Consider the following 16,244-nt stretch of genomic DNA (forward strand, 5'->3'; position numbering starts at 1 on the left):
AACCCCCGCTCCCAATCCCCGTGGTCTGCCCTCCCAACATTATTCTCACTTTGTATGTGGGGAAATTAAGGCCGGGGAAATGATGTGATTAGAGTAGCTGACAAAACTGAATGTCCCCAGGCCTCCCCAGGGTGGGACTGGGCTGAACGCTAACATCTCCTCCCCGTTTCCACCTGCTTGGTGGGTGCAGACCTCCAGAAACCCGGCCTGCCAAGTGGAACCGGACAGTGAGGACTTGTTGCCCAGGCTGGGGGGGCGCCCACTGCACTGAGGGTAAGCACCTGAGTGCGTTTGGGGACGCGGTACCTTCTGGGAGTCCTGGGCAGGGGATGCTAGCTCAGATCTGTGGTTTCAGGCAGAGAACCAGGGCTGGGCTGAGAGCTCCAGGCTACCCCATATTCACTGCCTGGGTCTGCCCCATCCTCCCCACCTACCGCAGCCCTTGCCAAAGCCAGTCCTGAAGGCCACTGCTTTGCCATGTGGCAGTGCCAGCTACAGGCAGGCTCAGCTAATGCCTCAGCAGGAAGCCTGGAGGAGTGCTGCGCCCGGCCCTGGGGACAAAGCTGGTGGGATGGCAGCTCCCAGGCCTGCCGCAGCTGCTCCAGCCGACACCTGCCAGGTGGGTCCACAGACTCCAGCCTGCCAGACAGGCACAGTCCTGGCCATCACCCCTTCCGCCTCCCCAGGCACTCCCATGTGGAGTTCTTGTGCTCTGGGCCCTTCTACAGGGCCCATACTGGCTCCCTGGCCCACTAGAGTGACCATGTCCTGTCTGCCTGCCTCCCGCTGTGCCGGGAGCCCTGTGTCCTCACCCTTCACCTCTGCCTCACACTCAGAGGCTCACAGTTGGTGTGTCTCTCCCAGGCAGTGCCTCTTCTCCAGCCCTCCTGCAGCCCCTGGCAGGGGCTGTGGGCCAGCTCTGGAGCCAGCACCAGCGTCCCTCGGCCACCTGTGCCTCCTGGTCGGGCTTCCACTACCGCACCTTTGATGGCCGCCACTATCACTTCCTGGGCCGCTGCACCTACCTGCTGGCGGGTGCTGCGGACTCCACCTGGGCTGTCCACCTAACACCCGGGGACCGCTGCCCCCAGCCTGGACACTGTCAGCGGGTGAGGGAGGGAGATGGGGCAGCCACAGGGAGGAGGCTGGACAGGGGAGGAAGAGAGCCCCAGCCCCCTTTTCCACTCTGCATCTCCTCAAGGTCCAGGTGACTATGGGACCCGAGGAGGTGCTGATCCAGGCTGGAAATGTGTCTGTGAAGGGGCAGCTGGTACCTGAAGGGCAGTCTTGGCTGCTCCACGGTGAGAGCACTGGGAGAGCAAGAGGCTGCCCAGGCCCCCACGTGCTCCTCTGACAGTCTCTCCACCCTCCAGGCAGGGTCAGAAAAGGAGCAGGGGGCTGTTTGGGAATGATCCCGCAGTGGGCCCCCAGTCATTGCTGTTGGGAGGCACTGAAGCGCAGATCCAGTGAGGGGCCGGGAGGAACCAGGCCTAGTCCCGACCCTCTGCAACTACCCCCACCAAACTCTCACAGCACCAGCTCAGACAAGTCCCTCTACCTAACTGCCCGAGCCTCAGTTTCCCCGCCAGCCTCAGAGGAGTGCTGTGAGGTAGCACTTTGGTGCTAAGCAATGGGAAGCTCTCCTAACAGAACCTTTGTCTTGGCTGGGCTGCAGGGTGAGGTGGGGGTGAGCTTCCTGCGTGTATGCCTGTGTGTGCATGGGTGCAGTGTGTGCATGTATGTGTGCATGCATGTGTGTGCACGTGCACGTGTGTTTCATAGTTCACTTGAAGTTTACTCTCTCCAGAGAGCGTCTGCAGCTTTCATGAGCTCCTCAAAGGGAGCTGTGATGGAAATCAATCACTCTGCTGTAAAGCATATACTTTTGGTATAAAGTGCAGAGCTCTCTAGAATGTGAGAATTGTGTGAGTTATTTCCCTTCTCCTTTCCATCCCTGGGTAGCTGAGCCCAGCTGTGGTAGTGGGAAGGGTGAGAATTGTGGCTGCAGGGGGCAAGTGACCTCTTTCTGTGCCCAGGGCTGAGCCTGCAATGGCTGGGGGACTGGCTGGTGCTGTCAGGAGGCCTGGGGGTCGTGGTGCGGCTGGACAGGACTGGCTCCATCTCCATCTCTGTGGACCACGAGCTCTGGGGACAGACACAAGGCCTCTGTGGGCTCTACAATGGCTGGCCAGAGGGTAAGTGGGGTGTGGTTTGTTGCTGGTGTAGCAGGGAAGGGAAGACCGGAGACCCTAGACCCAGCACCCCTGCCTCACCCCTTCTCAGATGACTTCATGGAGCCAGGCGGAGGGCTGGCCATGTTAGCAGCCACCTTTGGAAATTCCTGGAGGCTCCCTGGCTCGGAGGTGAGGCTGCCACTGGGGCCCCTCCCTCCCAGCTGCCTGCCCATTCCCAGCTTTTCAGGCTGGCTTCTGACTCCTGCACCTCCAAGCCCTTGTCCCAGTTTCATTGCTGGCCTGTTCCCTAGGACAGGGACTGGCCCTCTCCCAGATCCTCAGGGCAGAGGGCAGGCCTTGGGGTCCCACAGAAAGCCCGGCTGCCTGCTGTGAACTAGCCATCTGAGGCCAGCATTGGTGAACCAGTTAGTCATTTATCCCCACCACTGCAGCCCAGCGTGGGGCTGCCACCTCGCCTCTCTCCCCAGCCCCAGGATGTGGGCGGTGGGCCTGAAGGTGGGGCCCTGGTGCTGTGTGAGAGCAGGAGGCATTTTTCTGGGGTCCTGGTTAACGTCCCTCATCACTGCCACCTGACCTGATGGCCTTTGTCTGCAGTCTGGGTGTCTGGATGCAGTGGAGGTGGCCCAGGGCTGTGACAGCCCCCTGGGGCTCATAGACGCAGATGTAGAACCTGGCCACCTGCGGGCTGAAGCCCAGGACGTGTGCCATCAGCTGCTGGAAGGTCCATTCGGGCAGTGCCATGCCCAGGTATGGGTGGGGTAGGGGTGGTGTCTGGCACCCAAGGGAAGGTGATAGAGAAGTGTCAGCAAGCTGGTCTGGCCCTGCCTGTGGGTTACTTTGGGCCATCTGTCAAACCCCCACCTCTCCATCCTTGGCTTTATCTCTGGGAAATGGCCCGCTCATATATGTGATCTCTGAGGTTCCTTTTGGGGCTGATCCATTTGGTTATAAGTTATGGAGTGATGGAAGCAGGAGGTAGGGGGTGCTGGCTGTTTGCTGAGGGGCCGTCCTTTCCTGCAGGTTTCCCCTGCTGAGTACCACGAGGCCTGTCTCTTTGCCTACTGCGCAGGGGCCATGGCAGGCAGTGGGCAAGAGGGGCGGCAGCAGGCTGTTTGTGCCACCTTTGCCAGCTATGTCCAGGCCTGTGCCAGGCGGCACATCCACATTCGCTGGAGGAAGCCTGGCTTCTGCGGTACTGCTCGGGCCTCCCCCCGCTGCAGGATTGACTGAGGGGCTCCCCACCCTGTGGGATTGACTGGGGTCTGGCGGGGGACTACAGCTCACTCCTGTGCCCACAGAGCGCCTGTGCCCCGGGGGCCAGCTCTACTCCGACTGCGTCTCCCTCTGCCCACCCAGCTGCGAGGCGGTGGGTCAGGGAGAGGAGGAGTCCTGCAGGGAAGAGTGTGTGAGTGGCTGTGAGTGCCCGCGAGGCCTCTTCTGGAATGGCACCCTCTGTGTGCCTGCTGCCCACTGCCCCTGCTACTACTGCCGCCAGCGCTATGTACCCGGTGACACCGTGCGCCAGCTGTGTAACCCCTGGTGGGTCCTTGAGCCATGCTGGGGGTTGGTGGCCAGGTGGTGCCCTTGGATCCCTCCCTTCTCTTCAACCTGCTTCCCCTAAGCCTCCAGCCCATTCTGGGTCTTCCTCTCAGAGACTGGGACTGCTGCTGGCATGGCTGATGGCCTTGCTGGCTGACCTCTACCCCTTCAGCAGGAGGGGCTTCCACGGGAGGGGAGGAACAGGGGTTTTTGGGGGGTCACCTCCAGCTCAGGGGTCATCTCCACCCCCTCAGGGTGGAGCTGATGCCAGAGCTCACTGTCTCACCCATGTGCCCACAGCGTGTGCAGGGATGGCCGCTGGCACTGTGCCCAGGCACTGTGCCCCGCCGAGTGTGCAGTGGGTGGGGACGGGCACTACCTCACCTTCGATGGGCGGAGCTACTCCTTCTGGGGTGGTCAAGGTTGCCGCTACAGCCTGGTGCAGGTGGGCAGAGGACGGTCTGCTGGGGTGGCACTCTGCCACAGTAGGGGCCCTCCTAGAGGGCACAGTGGGGCTGACTGTAAGGAAACCCCTAAATAAATAAGCGAAACCCAGAGTCTTCCCAGGAAAGGCCAAGGGAGAACCAACACTGGGGGCATGGCTGTTACAGGCCTCGAGGCCTCCCGCTGGGTTCTCACCTCCTCCCCAGCTTCCCTGTGAAAGTCCCTCTGTCATCACCACTCAGCCCAGGGCCACTAACCAAAACCCATCTTCAGTCCTGTCTCTCACAGATGGGATGGGCTGAGTTTGTTATAGACTACTTCATGCAAAACAACCTCAGGGGAAATAAGAGGCCCTGCTCCCGCCCTAAACCTCCCCCAATGAAGTGAGCTCACTTCTCAAGTTCAGGTGCAGGCCACGATTTTCGCAATCATCTGGGGTCCCCTGAGTGATCTCTCCATTGAACTATTGGACCATTCCCACTCCTCTCATAAGTAGTGATGGGGTGAGGAGGTCCTGGGAGCACAGTCCTCACAGAGGCTGTGCCTGTCCATGGGGAGGGAAGAGGACAGCCATCTCCCCCAGCAAACACAGTCAAAGATGCATGTGTGTACACACACTCACACACACACAGGCTGCACACCAAAACACAGCAATCTGCATGTGAGCGCGCACATGTGCATGCAAACACACACACACACACACACACACACAGGCTACAAACCAACACAGAGATCTGCATGTGTACACACAGACACATACAGGCTATACACCAACACACAGAGACTTGTATGCATCCACACACATATACATGCACCCATGTACACACTTACAGACAGACACAGACATACACATGACACACACTCATGTATGTGCATGTAGATTTAGCATGTGTGTATACATGCACACAAACATGGGAGAACATACATATCCATAAGGAGGAAAGAGAGGAGTCATCTCACCCCAACATGCAGACACGCACTTACCTACACACACTCGTGAACATACAAACATGCACACACACCTCCACATGACACCTATGTGCACCTCCATGGCCCTGCACACACATACACACAGACATCCACGCATGCGGCCCATGGTGAGGACGAAGCCCCTTACCTGGCAGAGAGTCTGCCTGGCCGGAAGGTGGGCAGCTGCCTCCAGGTGCGTGCTGAAGGTGTTCTGTAGGGAAGGTCTCCAGAAGCCTCTCCGGAGAGGGTTGGCCCGCCGGGCCCCACTGAATTCCCCCTGCCCGCCCCAGGACTATGTGAAGGGACAGCTACTGATCCTACTGGAGCATGGGGCCTGCGACGCTGGGAGCTGCCTGCACGCCATCTCCGTCTCCCTGGAGGACACCCACATCCAGCTCAGGGACTCAGGTAGCCTCTGCTCTGCACTCTTGAGGCAGTCTCAGGCCTCCTGTCACTGCTCCTCCTCCACACTACCCTATGGCTTTGGAGTCCAAACACTCTTCCCCAGCCTCCTACACCTAAGCACACTGCCTCAACTTCCCCGGCCCTCTCATCTCTGAAGCAGACATACAGAGTCCTGAGGAGATGTTCCGAGGCATCTTCTGCCCCGTCCTGGGGTCAGATACAAGTCATGCAGCTATGAGAGCTTGAAAGGCCTTAAGGCATGACCAGACCGGGCAGGCCACTCAGCAGGGTCCCTCCAACCCTCCCCAACCAGCTCCTGGCTTGCCATCTAGCTCCTCCCACACACTGATCATGAGGGTGAGGGACTGGAAAATCTGTGTGCCAAGGGTAGTCCTTGGGCCGCAGGGGTAGGGAGCTCAGGTGGACACTCTAGTTGTCCCCAGCAGCCCATCCTGACATGGGACTTTCTACTTCCCATCCAAGCTCCTTCCCTTATCGCAGCCCTATCCTTCCACGTGCCCCACCCCCACCATCAGACCCCCTGTTCCAGGAGCTGTGCTGGTCAATGGGCAGGATGTGGGCTTGCCCTGGATTGGCGCTGAGGGCCTCAGTGTGCGCCGAGCTTCCTCTGCCTTTCTGCTGCTGCGCTGGCCTGGGGCCCAGGTGCTCTGGGGACTGTCTGACCCTGTAGCCTACATCACCCTGGACCCCCGCCATGCCCACCAGGTGTGCCAGTGAGGCGGCTGTGTGGGGGAGCAAGGGTGCGGTGGGACTGCATTCAGCTGTCTTACATGCGTGCTTGTGGCCCAGGTGCAGGGTCTGTGTGGCACCTTCACCCAGAACCAGCAGGACGACTTCCTGACACCAGCCGGAGATGTGGAAACTAGCATTGCTGCCTTTGCTAGCAAGTTCCAGGTGGCCGGCAAGGGAAGATGCCCCTCTGAGGACAGTGCCCTGCTGTCTCCCTGCACCACCCACTCCCAGCGCCACGCCTTCGCAGAGGCGGCCTGTGCCATCCTGCACAGCTCTGTCTTCCAGGTAGCTGGGTTGGGCTCCTCCCACATCTGTAAGATGGGCCGACACCTGCCCTGCCCTCCACCTGGGCTCTTGGGAGGATCAAGGGAGACCAGACAAGCCCAGAGGTGGTATTGGGGACCAAGGGGACGTAGACTCCGTGGAGGAGAAGTTGACCCATTTCCCCATCTCCTCCCAAGGAATGCCACAGGCTGGTGGACAAAGAGCCATTCTATCTGCGCTGCCTGGCAGCCGTGTGTGGCTGTGATCCCGGCAGTGACTGCCTGTGCCCGGTGCTGTCTGCCTATGCGCGTCGCTGTGCCCAGGAAGGTGCCTCACCTCCCTGGAGGAACCAGACCCTCTGCCGTAAGTTTGCTCAGCCCAGCCAACCCCACCCAGGCTCCTCCCCTCCTCCCTAGCCCATCCCCCTTCCAGGAATGGCTAGGGGCCCAGGGTGCATCTCTACCCTTGGCAGACTGCCGGGCTTTTCTTCCTGCAAAGGCACAGGGGGTGTGGGCTGTGGGGTTCCGAGGGGGTGGAGAGAGCCAGTGGTGGCTATGCCCCTGACCTGTGTGTGTCCCTGTGCCCAGCTGTTATGTGTCCTGGTGGCCAGGAGTACCGAGAGTGTGCCCCAGCATGCGGTCAACACTGCGGGAAACCAGAGGACTGTGGAGAGCTGGGCAGCTGTGTGGCTGGTTGTAACTGTCCTCTGGGGCTGCTGTGGGACCCTGAGGGCCAGTGTGTGCCCCCCAGCTTGTGCCCCTGCCAGCTCGGAGCCCGTCGCTATGCCCCTGGCAGTGCCACCATGAAGGAGTGCAACCGCTGGTGAGGGCAGCGACCTTTGGGGCAAGAGGAAGAATGTGGGGGTGAAGAGGTAGCTTGGGAGATAACGGGTGGGGTGCAGCCTTGTTGGTTGCAGCGTGCATGCTGGGGGTGACAGAGTGCTGATCACTTCCCCTCGGTCGTGGGGCACTTTAGGGTCCATAAAGCACTTTCGTGTGCATCATTTTATCTAGTTTTACTTTCCTATCATAACCTCATAAAGTAAGAAGTGGAAAAATTGTTCCCATTTTGCAGATGAGGAAACTGAGGCTCAGATAGGCTAAACAGCTTGCAGGGTCACACAGCTTGTTCACGAGAAGTGAAGTGAAGGCAGATTATGGATCTGCAGGCTTCAATGCAATCCCTCTCCTACCTGGGCTGGGAGTAGGGTGGTTCAATATCTCTGTCCTGCTCCAGAGCCTGGAGGATGGACCTATTGGAGCCGGGACAGAAAGGGTGACAATGTCTATCCCAGGCATGTCAGGGTGCTGGAAACAGCCCAACTCCCTGTGCTGATGACTGAGTGTTGGGAGCTGAGATGCTCAGGTCTCCAGCATCAGGGCTGGGTTTTCACTCAACGTGATGGGATCTGGACACCTGGGTACCCAGTGTCTGGGTTCCTGAGATTCTCACCAGGTCAGACCAGGTTCCTGGAAGCTCGGACTTGCCTCTTACTCCTTCTCAACCTCCTGCAGCATCTGCCAGGAAAGGGGCCTCTGGAATTGCACGGCTCGCCACTGCCCTTCACAGGGGCATTCTGCCCCAGGGAGCTTGTCTATGCCCCTGGTGCCTGTCTCCTCACCTGTGACAGCCCCAGCGCCAATCACTCCTGCCCTGCAGGCAGTACTGATGGCTGTGTCTGTCCACCAGGCACGGTGCTGCTGGTGAGTCCAAGAAGGAGCTGCGTGGGGGAACAGGATGGCCTTCCTTAAGCCAGGGCACTGCCCTGCTCCCCTCGCACCCCTACATGGTGCCCTTTGTCCCTGCCCTCTGCCCAGGACGAGCGCTGTGTGCCTCCTGACCTCTGTCCCTGCCGTCACAGTGGGCAGTGGTACCTGCCCAACGCCACCATCCAGGAAGACTGCAACGTTTGGTATGCCCAGCTGCCGTGACCTCTAACCCTTTGACCTTGTGGCCCATGGCTCCCCACACATCATCCTTCCCTCCACCAGAAGGGGTCGGGGTGGTGGGGGCTGGGGTATCCAGACTGGCCTGGGCCAAGGGAACCCTGCAGGACCCCACCACGCTGAGGGCTGCTGAGATTGCCTGGAACCTGGACCAGCTGCCTTCCCTGGATCCAGCCCCCAGGGCCCTATCCTCGGTGACTCTGTTTCCCCCACCTTGCCCATAGCGTGTGCCGGGGCCGGCAGTGGCACTGCACAGGCCAGCGGCGCAGTGGGCGGTGCCAGGCATCAGGCGCCCCCCACTATGTGACATTTGACGGACTGGCCTTCACCTATCCTGGGGCCTGCGAGTATCTGCTGGTGCGAGAGGCCAGTGGCCTATTCACAGTCTCTGCCCAGAACCTGCCCTGTGGGGCCAGCGGTCTCACCTGCACCAAAGCGCTGGCCGTGCGTCTGGAGGGCACTGTTGTGCACATGCTCAGAGGTGGCTGCAACATTGAAGGGTGACATTGCCAGGGAGGGGCACACCTGTATGGCTTCCCAGCTGTGCAAGGTGGGAGGGGGCGGGGTTCCCTGTGTCTGCTCACTGCTGGCCAGCTCCTTACTGGGCTTGGCTGCCCTCCATGCCATGGGGTTGGTGCCTCTCCTCTTGGTTGGGACTCAATACCAGAAGCCTCCCAGAAATTAAGTCCCAGAGAAGTCTAATGATGTGCCCAAGGTCACACAGGTAGAGAAGCAAAAGAAGGGCTGGACAGGGGAGCTAGAGAGCCTCATGAGGATCTGGAGGACCCTTTCCTCCAGGCTGGGCCTGAATGCCTTTCTTCCTCTACAGGCCGGGCAGTGACGGTGAATGGGGTGAGCGTGACGCCCCCCAAGGTCTACACAGGCCCTGGGCTGAGCCTGCGTCGTGCTGGCCTCTTCCTGCTGCTCTCGACCCACCTGGGCCTCACCCTGCTCTGGGATGGAGATCAGGCCCCTGCCCTCCCTCAACCATTGGACCTGTGCCCCGCCTTAGCACCATAGGGTTGAACTCACCCCAACTTCTTTCTCCCAACGCCTGACCCTCCCTCCTCCTGGTCTCCCTCCACTGAGCCCCTGACACCTCCACAGGGCAGATTTCCAGGCTGAGAGCTAAGCTGACAGCCAGGCTAGGACCCTGAGCTCTCACCTTACTTCCCTGCCTGGCTGGCACTTGCCCTGCCCCATGCCCAACCCAGTGCCACCCCTACCTCCCAGTCCATGCAAGAGGTCCGAGTTTCCAAATTAGGTTTTTGGCCAGGTGCAGTGGCTCACAACTGTAATCCCAGCACTTTGGGAGGCTGAGGCGAGCAGATCCCTTGAGCCCAGGGCTTTGAGACTAGCCTGGGTTGAACATGGCAAGACTCCCTGTCTACAAAAAATACAAAAATTAGCTGGGCACGGTGGTGCGCATCTGAAATCTCAGCTACCTGGGAGCTAAGATGGGAAGATTGCTTGAGCCTGGGACGTCAAGGCTGCAGTGAGCTGTGATCACCCCACTGCACTCTGCCTGGGCAATAGAGCGAGAAAAAAATTTTTTTTAAATTAGGTTTTCATAATTATCTTTTTCATCATTATGAAAGCAATCCTTCCACACCAAGGGAAACATTGAGAAAATACCAAGTTTTAGAAAGGCGAAATGAAAATAAATCTCCTAACTTCCCATCACCCATATAAGCAGTTGGCTTATATGTTATATCTAACTGCTTCTGTGGAACTGAGGGAAACCCAGATAACCCCCATATGGACTTGGCTCTGAGCCGCTGGGCCACCCTCCCAGCCTGCCGCCACCGAGGCTGGTGCTGCTGGGCCTCACAGTCCATCCTGGAGTCTGGTTTCCCAGAATCTGACCTGATGGAGAATTTCTCTCCCCCTCAGCCCTTGGCTTGGTGTTAGTTAGGAAAATAGGCTCCTAATTCCTACCTTGAGCCCCCTAAATATAGGTCTCTTCATTTATCATCACCAATCATCCCCCCACAAAAGAGGTAACCATACCCCCTGGTGGGGGTGGCACCTGGTGGTGGTAAAACAGACCCTGGGTCTTCTGGCCCAGATAAGGGCTGGTGAGGTCACTTTTAACCATGCTGCCACCAGGGACTCGGGTCCTGGTGCAACTGTCCCCTCAGTTCCGTGGTCGCGTGGCTGGGCTGTGTGGTGACTTTGATGGAGATGCCAGTAATGATCTGCGGAGCCGCCAGGGCGTCCTGGAGCCCACAGCTGAACTGGCTGCCCACTCCTGGCGCCTCAGCCCCCTCTGCCCTGAGCCAGGAGACCTGCCACACCCCTGCACGGTGAGTGCAGGCGGGAAAGCAGGAAGGGAGGTTCCCAGAGGCAGGGCTGGGGAGGGTGTCCGCTGGTCCACTGTGCTGGAGACGCCACCCTGTGCCTGCAGATGAACACACACCGGGCTGGTTGGGCTCGGGCCCGCTGTGGGGCGCTGCTGCAGCCGCTCTTCACATTATGCCACGCGGAGGTCCCCCCGCAGCAGCACTATGAGTGGTGCCTGTATGACGCCTGCGGGTAAGGAGAGGCCAACCTGGAGTGGGGTAGAGGTGGGGGTGCCGGGACTGAATGCTTCCTCCCACAGCTGCGACTCGGGGGGTGACTGTGAGTGCCTCTGCTCGGCCATTGCCACCTATGCAGATGAGTGTGCCCGGCATGGGCACCACGTGCGCTGGCGTAGCCAGGAGCTCTGCTGTGAGTGTGCCCCGCCCTCAGTCCCCAATGCTAAATCCTGCCACTGCCACAGGCTCAGCTTCTTGAAAGAGCTTCTCCTGTCCCACAAGACGGCCGTTCATTCATTCAAGGGCAAGCTGTGCATCGAGTGCTTACTCTGTGCCAGACACTTTTCTAGATAAGCCATATATGCAAGAACGGCTGCCGAGTAGAGCTGACATGGTACACGTCGGCCCGGGGGGTCTTGCCCAAGGTCTACACCAGACACCCTGTGCCCTCCATGGTGGTCACCTTGGCCAGCCAGCCTGGTGTGGTTGCATCCTTTTGCCCTTGTGCCTCAGTGATCCAAGGCTCTCTCCTCTCCACCCAGCCCTGCAGTGTGAAGGGGGACAGGTATATGAGGCCTGTGGCCCCACGTGTCCCCCCACCTGCCATGAGCAGCATCCTGAGCCCGGGTGGCACTGCCAGGTGGTGGCCTGTGTGGAGGGCTGCTTCTGCCCCGAGGGGACTCTGCTGCACGGTGTGTAGAGTGACAAAGGGCAGAGGGGAGGGGCACTGAGACTGGGAAGGGGCCACTGTGCCCTTTTGCTCTGAGCCCTGCACTCTGTGACCTCAGGAGGAGCCTGCTTGGAGCCAGCTTCCTGCCCCTGTGAGTGGGGCCGCAACTCCTTCCCGCCGGGGTCTGTGCTGCAAAAGGACTGCGGGAACTGGTGAGTGGGGAGGTCATCTTGGGGGGGACCTATTGAAGGAGCACTGGGCCAAGCCCAGCCTGTGGCTGATCCCAGGACGCTGTGTGCTCAGCACGTGCCAGGAAGGTCAATGGCATTGTGGGGGTGACGGTGGCCACTGTGAGGAGCTTGTGCCTGCCTGTGCAGAGGGAGAGGCCCTGTGCCAAGAGAATGGGCACTGTGTGCCCCATGGGTGGCTTTGTGACAACCAGGACGACTGTGGCGATGGCTCTGATGAGGAGGGTGAGTGTCTTTGCCCATGCGTGGAAGCGACAGGGTTGGTCAGTCCTTGCACATGTAACTGAATTTCCTGGGGCCAAGGCAGCTGTCCTGGAGTGGCTTCTTTAGCTGCTGCTCCCATTGCCAGGGGCTGCCTGTGGCCTGGAGGGATGAGGGGAAGGGAGGGTGTTCTGGTCCCTCTGGGGTTCAGGGCTTCTCTGGGCCCCTACAGCAGCGTCCTGAGCCTGCCTGTTTGCCCCATGCTAGGTTGTGCCGCCCCAGGCTGTGGGGAGGGGCAGATGACTTGCAGCTCCGGCCACTGCCTGCCCCTGGCCCTGCTCTGTGACCGCCAGGATGACTGTGGAGATGGCACGGATGAGCCGAGCTATCCGTGCCCCCAGGGCTTGCTGGCCTGTGCCGATGGACGCTGCCTGCCGCCGGCCCTGCTCTGCGATGGGCATCCTGACTGTCTGGATGCCGCCGACGAGGAGTCCTGTCTGGGTGAGTTGTCCCTGCCCTGGACGCCAGCCCACCCAGCACTCCCTCCCGCAAGGCCCATCTCCTCAAGAGCCCCGACTTCACCTCCCCGCTCCTTTGCCAGGTTCCTGCTATGAAGTTGGTCCTGAGGGTGTGGGAGTTGGGGCACCCCAAACAGTAAGAGTACAGGGCAGTGCCCCAGAGCCAGTTCTTCTTTTCTGTGCAGGGCAGGTGACCTGCGTCCCCGGGGAGGTGTCCTGTGTTGATGGCACCTGCCTGGGGGCCATCCAGCTGTGTGACGGAGTCTGGGACTGCCCAGATGGAGCCGATGAGGGGCCGGGACACTGCCCCCTACCTTCTCTGCCCACACCTCCTGCCAGCACCTTGCCTGGCCCCTCCCCAGGCTCCCTGGACACTGCGTCAAGTCCCCTGGCCAGCGCCAGCCCTGGTGAGTCTCCTGGAGGGAAGAGGTGGGAAAGCTGGTGGCCAGAAGCCTGGGGGAGAGGGGCATGGAAGCCTCAGAGAGAGGCATTTGTGGCGCTGCTCTGGGATGGGAAGGAGCAGGGCGCAGTGGGAGACACCCGAAGACGCTGGAATGAATGAAGTGGAGGGCGTTTGAAAGAGTCTACACTCTTTCCTGGCGTTCAAGGCCTCCCTCCCAGCTGCAGGGAGTCTCATGGAAATTCTTGGCCCAGGGGAGAGCTTTGGGAAAACCAACCGGGCAGCAAAATGCAGAGGGATTGTTCTCGGGAAGGGGCTGCAGGTGGGTTAGGGCCAGGCCCAGGAAATGGCCAAGGGACTTGGACCAGGGAGGGGAGCAGCGGCGGAGGTGGAAGGACTGACCCGGGCGCGGTTGCGGGTGGGAGGGCGCTCGCCGGCAGAGGATCCAGCGCGGACGCTCCCTGCAGCGCCACCCTGCGGCCCCTTCGAGTTTCGGTGCGGCAGCGGCGAGTGCACCCCGCGGGGCTGGCGCTGCGACCAGGAGGAAGACTGCGCCGACGGCAGCGACGAGCGCGGCTGCGGAGGGCCCTGCGCGCCGCACCACGCGCCCTGCGCCCGCGGCCCTCACTGCGTGTCCCCCGAGCAGCTGTGCGACGGCGTGCGGCAGTGTCCCGACGGCTCGGACGAGGGCCCCGACGCCTGCGTTGAGGCTCCCGCGCCCCCGGCCATGCGCGGCCCCCCTGGCCAAGCCGGCGGGCCCACCTCTTCCCGAGCGCCATCCCCACCTTCGCCTCCTGAGGCACAGGTGGGCGCGGCAGCTAGAGTGATTTAGGTTTGGGGGCATCCGAGGCTGGGCCACGTTTGCGTTCCTTTGATCTTTTTCGTGAAACTTTATTTGAAAAGTTTTTACCCTCCCACCTAGGCCCAGGAGAGCGAAGAAAGGGGCTTTGTCTTTCCCCACACTTGGCCAAGAAGGGATAAGAGGGTGGGCAGAGGCTCTGCGGGGATGAGGAGTGTGTCTGTTTGGAGGGATCCCGCCCTCAGCATTTCCCCACCAGACCTGAGCAGACCCTCTGTGTCACTGCAAGCCAGCCCTTCAGGTCCTGTCTACCTCCCCCTATAGCGAGCTGTCCACAGGCCCCCCAGCTCCTCCCAGGCTGGCCTGTCTGGCCGCCTCCCACCCGCCTTTCTGCCCCTCTGCAGGGAGAGGGCAGGAAGGGACAGGAGCGGAGCAGGACACATCTCACAGTGCCCGCAGGCTCCACCCAGCTGCCTCTGTGCCCTGGCCTCTTTCCCTGTGGTGTGGCTCCGGGGCTGTGCCTGACCCCTGAGCAGCTCTGTGATGGGATCCCAGACTGTCCCCAGGGCGAGGACGAGCTGGACTGCGGTGAGGATGCTTTGTTCCCTGAGGGAGGCCCCGCTGGCTGGGCCCGGGACACAGCTCACACCCCCCGCTCACTGTGTTTTTTCTCCTCTTCTTTCCCAGGGGGGCTGCCAGCCCTGGGAGGCCCCAACAGGACAGGGCTTCCCTGCCCAGAATACACCTGCCCCAATGGCACCTGCATAGGCTTCCAGCTGGTGAGGGTGGGAGTGGGTGGAGGAGGCGGCAGTGCCATGTTGCCTCCCAGCACAAGAGCCCTGACCCCACTCCCTCCCCAGGTGTGTGATGGGCAGCCTGACTGTGGAAGGCCAGGGCAGGTGGGCCCCTCCCCAGAAGAGCAGGGTTGTGGGGCCTGGGGCCCCTGGAGCCCATGGGGGCCCTGCAGCCGGACGTGTGGGCCCTGGGGCCAGGGCCGGAGCCGCCGCTGCTCCCCACTCGGCCTCCTGGTGCTACAGAACTGCCCAGGGCCTGAGCACCAGTCTCAGGCCTGCTTCACGGCAGCCTGCCCAGGTGAGGGGCTGGGGTGGTGGGGCCTGGATAGAGGAAGGGAGAAGAAGGCCACTAGGCCTTCAGCCCTCCCCCATGGTCCTCACTGCCTGCCCTGTCCCCCTGCCTCACAGTGGACGGTGAATGGAGCACCTGGTCCCCCTGGTCTGTGTGCTCTGAGCCGTGCAGGGGCACCATGACGCGGCAACGGCAGTGCCACTCACCCCAGAATGGGGGCCGCACCTGTGCTGCACTGCCCGGAGGCCTGCACAGCACCCGCCAGACCAGTGAGTTGAAGAGAGGATGGTGCTGCTGGTGGGAGGCCATCCTCTCTGCAGAGCTCCCTTCCCTGACCTCTGACCTCTGCTTCCGGCTTCTCTCAGAGCCTTGCCCTCAGGACGGCTGCCCCAATGCCACTTGCTCTGGGGAGCTGATGTTCCAGCCCTGTGCCCCCTGCCCACTGACCTGTGATGACATCTCTGGCCAGGTCACGTGCCCACCTGATTGGCCCTGCGGCAGCCCGGGTAAGGGGGCTCTGGGCCCAGGTGCTGGCTCCAGGGTGTGGGTCTGTGGCAACAGCCCTCTGCATGGAAGCCTCACCCTGGGCCCCCTCTAGGCTGCTGGTGCCCAGAAGGGCAGGTGCTGGGCAGCGAGGGGTGGTGTGTGTGGCCCCGGCAGTGCCCCTGCCTGGTGGACGGTGCCCGCTACTGGCCTGGGCAACGCATCAAGGCCGACTGCCAGCTCTGCATCTGCCAAGACGGACGGCCCCGACGCTGCCGACTCAACCCGGACTGCGCTGGTGAGGCCCTTCCCTCGGGGTCCCTAGTCCTCTCCCTGGACCGCCCAGCTGCACATCCACCACCTCCTTCAGGCTCTGACTGTTGGCCCTCCCTCAGTGGACTGTGGCTGGTCCTCCTGGTCACCCTGGGCCAAGTGCCTGGGCCCCTGTGGAAGCCAGAGCATCCAGTGGTCCTTCCGGAGCTCCAACAACCCCCGCCCCTCCGGCCGAGGTCGCCAGTGCCGTGGCATCCACCGCAAGGCACGCAGGTGCTCTGTTCCCCACCCACCGGGGGACCTGCAGGGACCTTGGCCCGCACCCCACCTCCCACTTAGGAAGCTTCCTGTGTGCCCCTTCCACATCCACCACACATCCCCAATTCGGAACCCCTGCCCTGTGCCCCTACCCGTCTAAATCCCGGGAGTCCCGGAACCTCTTTGGGGACCCCTGGCCTTTCCCTTCTCTAGTTTTATGCCCTCTAGGTCTTGAAGGTGGGTAGACGGAGCCCGCAGATGCAGCTTCACAAAC

The 16,244-nt window shown here is 61.2% G+C and overlaps 1 pseudogene across 1 annotated transcript in view, besides 7 other annotated features; it reads left to right on the plus strand.

The window, feature by feature from the left end:
• Positions 1 to 16,244, plus strand: part of SSPOP (SCO-spondin, pseudogene) — a 57,924-nt pseudogene that overhangs the window by 703 nt on the left and 40,977 nt on the right. Inside the window, exons 3-37 of the transcript NR_163594.1 lie at positions 191 to 273; positions 440 to 619; positions 865 to 1,109; positions 1,202 to 1,301; positions 2,037 to 2,195; positions 2,284 to 2,363; positions 2,790 to 2,942; positions 3,216 to 3,387; positions 3,494 to 3,734; positions 4,035 to 4,179; positions 5,438 to 5,555; positions 6,103 to 6,278; positions 6,363 to 6,590; positions 6,767 to 6,932; positions 7,157 to 7,391; positions 8,084 to 8,272; positions 8,387 to 8,481; positions 8,740 to 8,996; positions 9,345 to 9,479; positions 10,625 to 10,821; positions 10,923 to 11,050; positions 11,118 to 11,227; positions 11,577 to 11,726; positions 11,823 to 11,916; positions 12,008 to 12,177; positions 12,421 to 12,654; positions 12,857 to 13,078; positions 13,539 to 13,876; positions 14,275 to 14,458; positions 14,558 to 14,649; positions 14,731 to 14,962; positions 15,073 to 15,225; positions 15,322 to 15,462; positions 15,555 to 15,737; positions 15,835 to 15,985. The product of NR_163594.1 is annotated as an SCO-spondin, pseudogene (transcript). The remainder of the gene's footprint in view (positions 1 to 190; positions 274 to 439; positions 620 to 864; positions 1,110 to 1,201; positions 1,302 to 2,036; positions 2,196 to 2,283; positions 2,364 to 2,789; positions 2,943 to 3,215; positions 3,388 to 3,493; positions 3,735 to 4,034; positions 4,180 to 5,437; positions 5,556 to 6,102; positions 6,279 to 6,362; positions 6,591 to 6,766; positions 6,933 to 7,156; positions 7,392 to 8,083; positions 8,273 to 8,386; positions 8,482 to 8,739; positions 8,997 to 9,344; positions 9,480 to 10,624; positions 10,822 to 10,922; positions 11,051 to 11,117; positions 11,228 to 11,576; positions 11,727 to 11,822; positions 11,917 to 12,007; positions 12,178 to 12,420; positions 12,655 to 12,856; positions 13,079 to 13,538; positions 13,877 to 14,274; positions 14,459 to 14,557; positions 14,650 to 14,730; positions 14,963 to 15,072; positions 15,226 to 15,321; positions 15,463 to 15,554; positions 15,738 to 15,834; positions 15,986 to 16,244) is intronic.
• Positions 5,296 to 5,872: an enhancer, noted in NCBI's record as "H3K27ac-H3K4me1 hESC enhancer chr7:149479128-149479704 (GRCh37/hg19 assembly coordinates)". NCBI's record gives its function as "activates a minimal SCP1, AML or CMV promoter by ChIP-STARR-seq in naive H9 embryonic stem cells {active_cell/tissue: H9 hESC(naive)}" and the evidence as "EXISTENCE:reporter gene assay evidence [ECO:0000049][PMID:30033119]".
• Positions 6,450 to 7,026: an enhancer, noted in NCBI's record as "H3K27ac-H3K4me1 hESC enhancer chr7:149480282-149480858 (GRCh37/hg19 assembly coordinates)". NCBI's record gives its function as "activates a minimal SCP1, AML or CMV promoter by ChIP-STARR-seq in primed H9 embryonic stem cells {active_cell/tissue: H9 hESC(primed)}" and the evidence as "EXISTENCE:reporter gene assay evidence [ECO:0000049][PMID:30033119]".
• Positions 7,027 to 7,602: an enhancer, noted in NCBI's record as "H3K4me1 hESC enhancer chr7:149480859-149481434 (GRCh37/hg19 assembly coordinates)". NCBI's record gives its function as "activates a minimal SCP1, AML or CMV promoter by ChIP-STARR-seq in primed H9 embryonic stem cells {active_cell/tissue: H9 hESC(primed)}" and the evidence as "EXISTENCE:reporter gene assay evidence [ECO:0000049][PMID:30033119]".
• Positions 8,789 to 9,288: an enhancer, noted in NCBI's record as "H3K4me1 hESC enhancer chr7:149482621-149483120 (GRCh37/hg19 assembly coordinates)". NCBI's record gives its function as "activates a minimal SCP1, AML or CMV promoter by ChIP-STARR-seq in primed H9 embryonic stem cells {active_cell/tissue: H9 hESC(primed)}" and the evidence as "EXISTENCE:reporter gene assay evidence [ECO:0000049][PMID:30033119]".
• Positions 10,757 to 11,051: a silencer, noted in NCBI's record as "tiled region #4172; HepG2 Repressive non-DNase unmatched - State 12:CtcfO". NCBI's record gives its function as "represses a minimal TATA promoter and a strong SV40 promoter by Sharpr-MPRA in HepG2 cells {active_cell/tissue: HepG2}" and the evidence as "EXISTENCE:reporter gene assay evidence [ECO:0000049][PMID:27701403]".
• Positions 11,025 to 11,614: an enhancer, noted in NCBI's record as "H3K27ac-H3K4me1 hESC enhancer chr7:149484857-149485446 (GRCh37/hg19 assembly coordinates)". NCBI's record gives its function as "activates a minimal SCP1, AML or CMV promoter by ChIP-STARR-seq in primed H9 embryonic stem cells {active_cell/tissue: H9 hESC(primed)}" and the evidence as "EXISTENCE:reporter gene assay evidence [ECO:0000049][PMID:30033119]".
• Positions 13,794 to 14,582: an enhancer, noted in NCBI's record as "H3K4me1 hESC enhancer chr7:149487626-149488414 (GRCh37/hg19 assembly coordinates)". NCBI's record gives its function as "activates a minimal SCP1, AML or CMV promoter by ChIP-STARR-seq in naive H9 embryonic stem cells {active_cell/tissue: H9 hESC(naive)}" and the evidence as "EXISTENCE:reporter gene assay evidence [ECO:0000049][PMID:30033119]".

Source organism: Homo sapiens, chromosome 7, assembly GCF_000001405.40.
Source record: "Homo sapiens chromosome 7, GRCh38.p14 Primary Assembly".
NCBI lineage: Eukaryota > Metazoa > Chordata > Mammalia > Primates > Hominidae > Homo > Homo sapiens.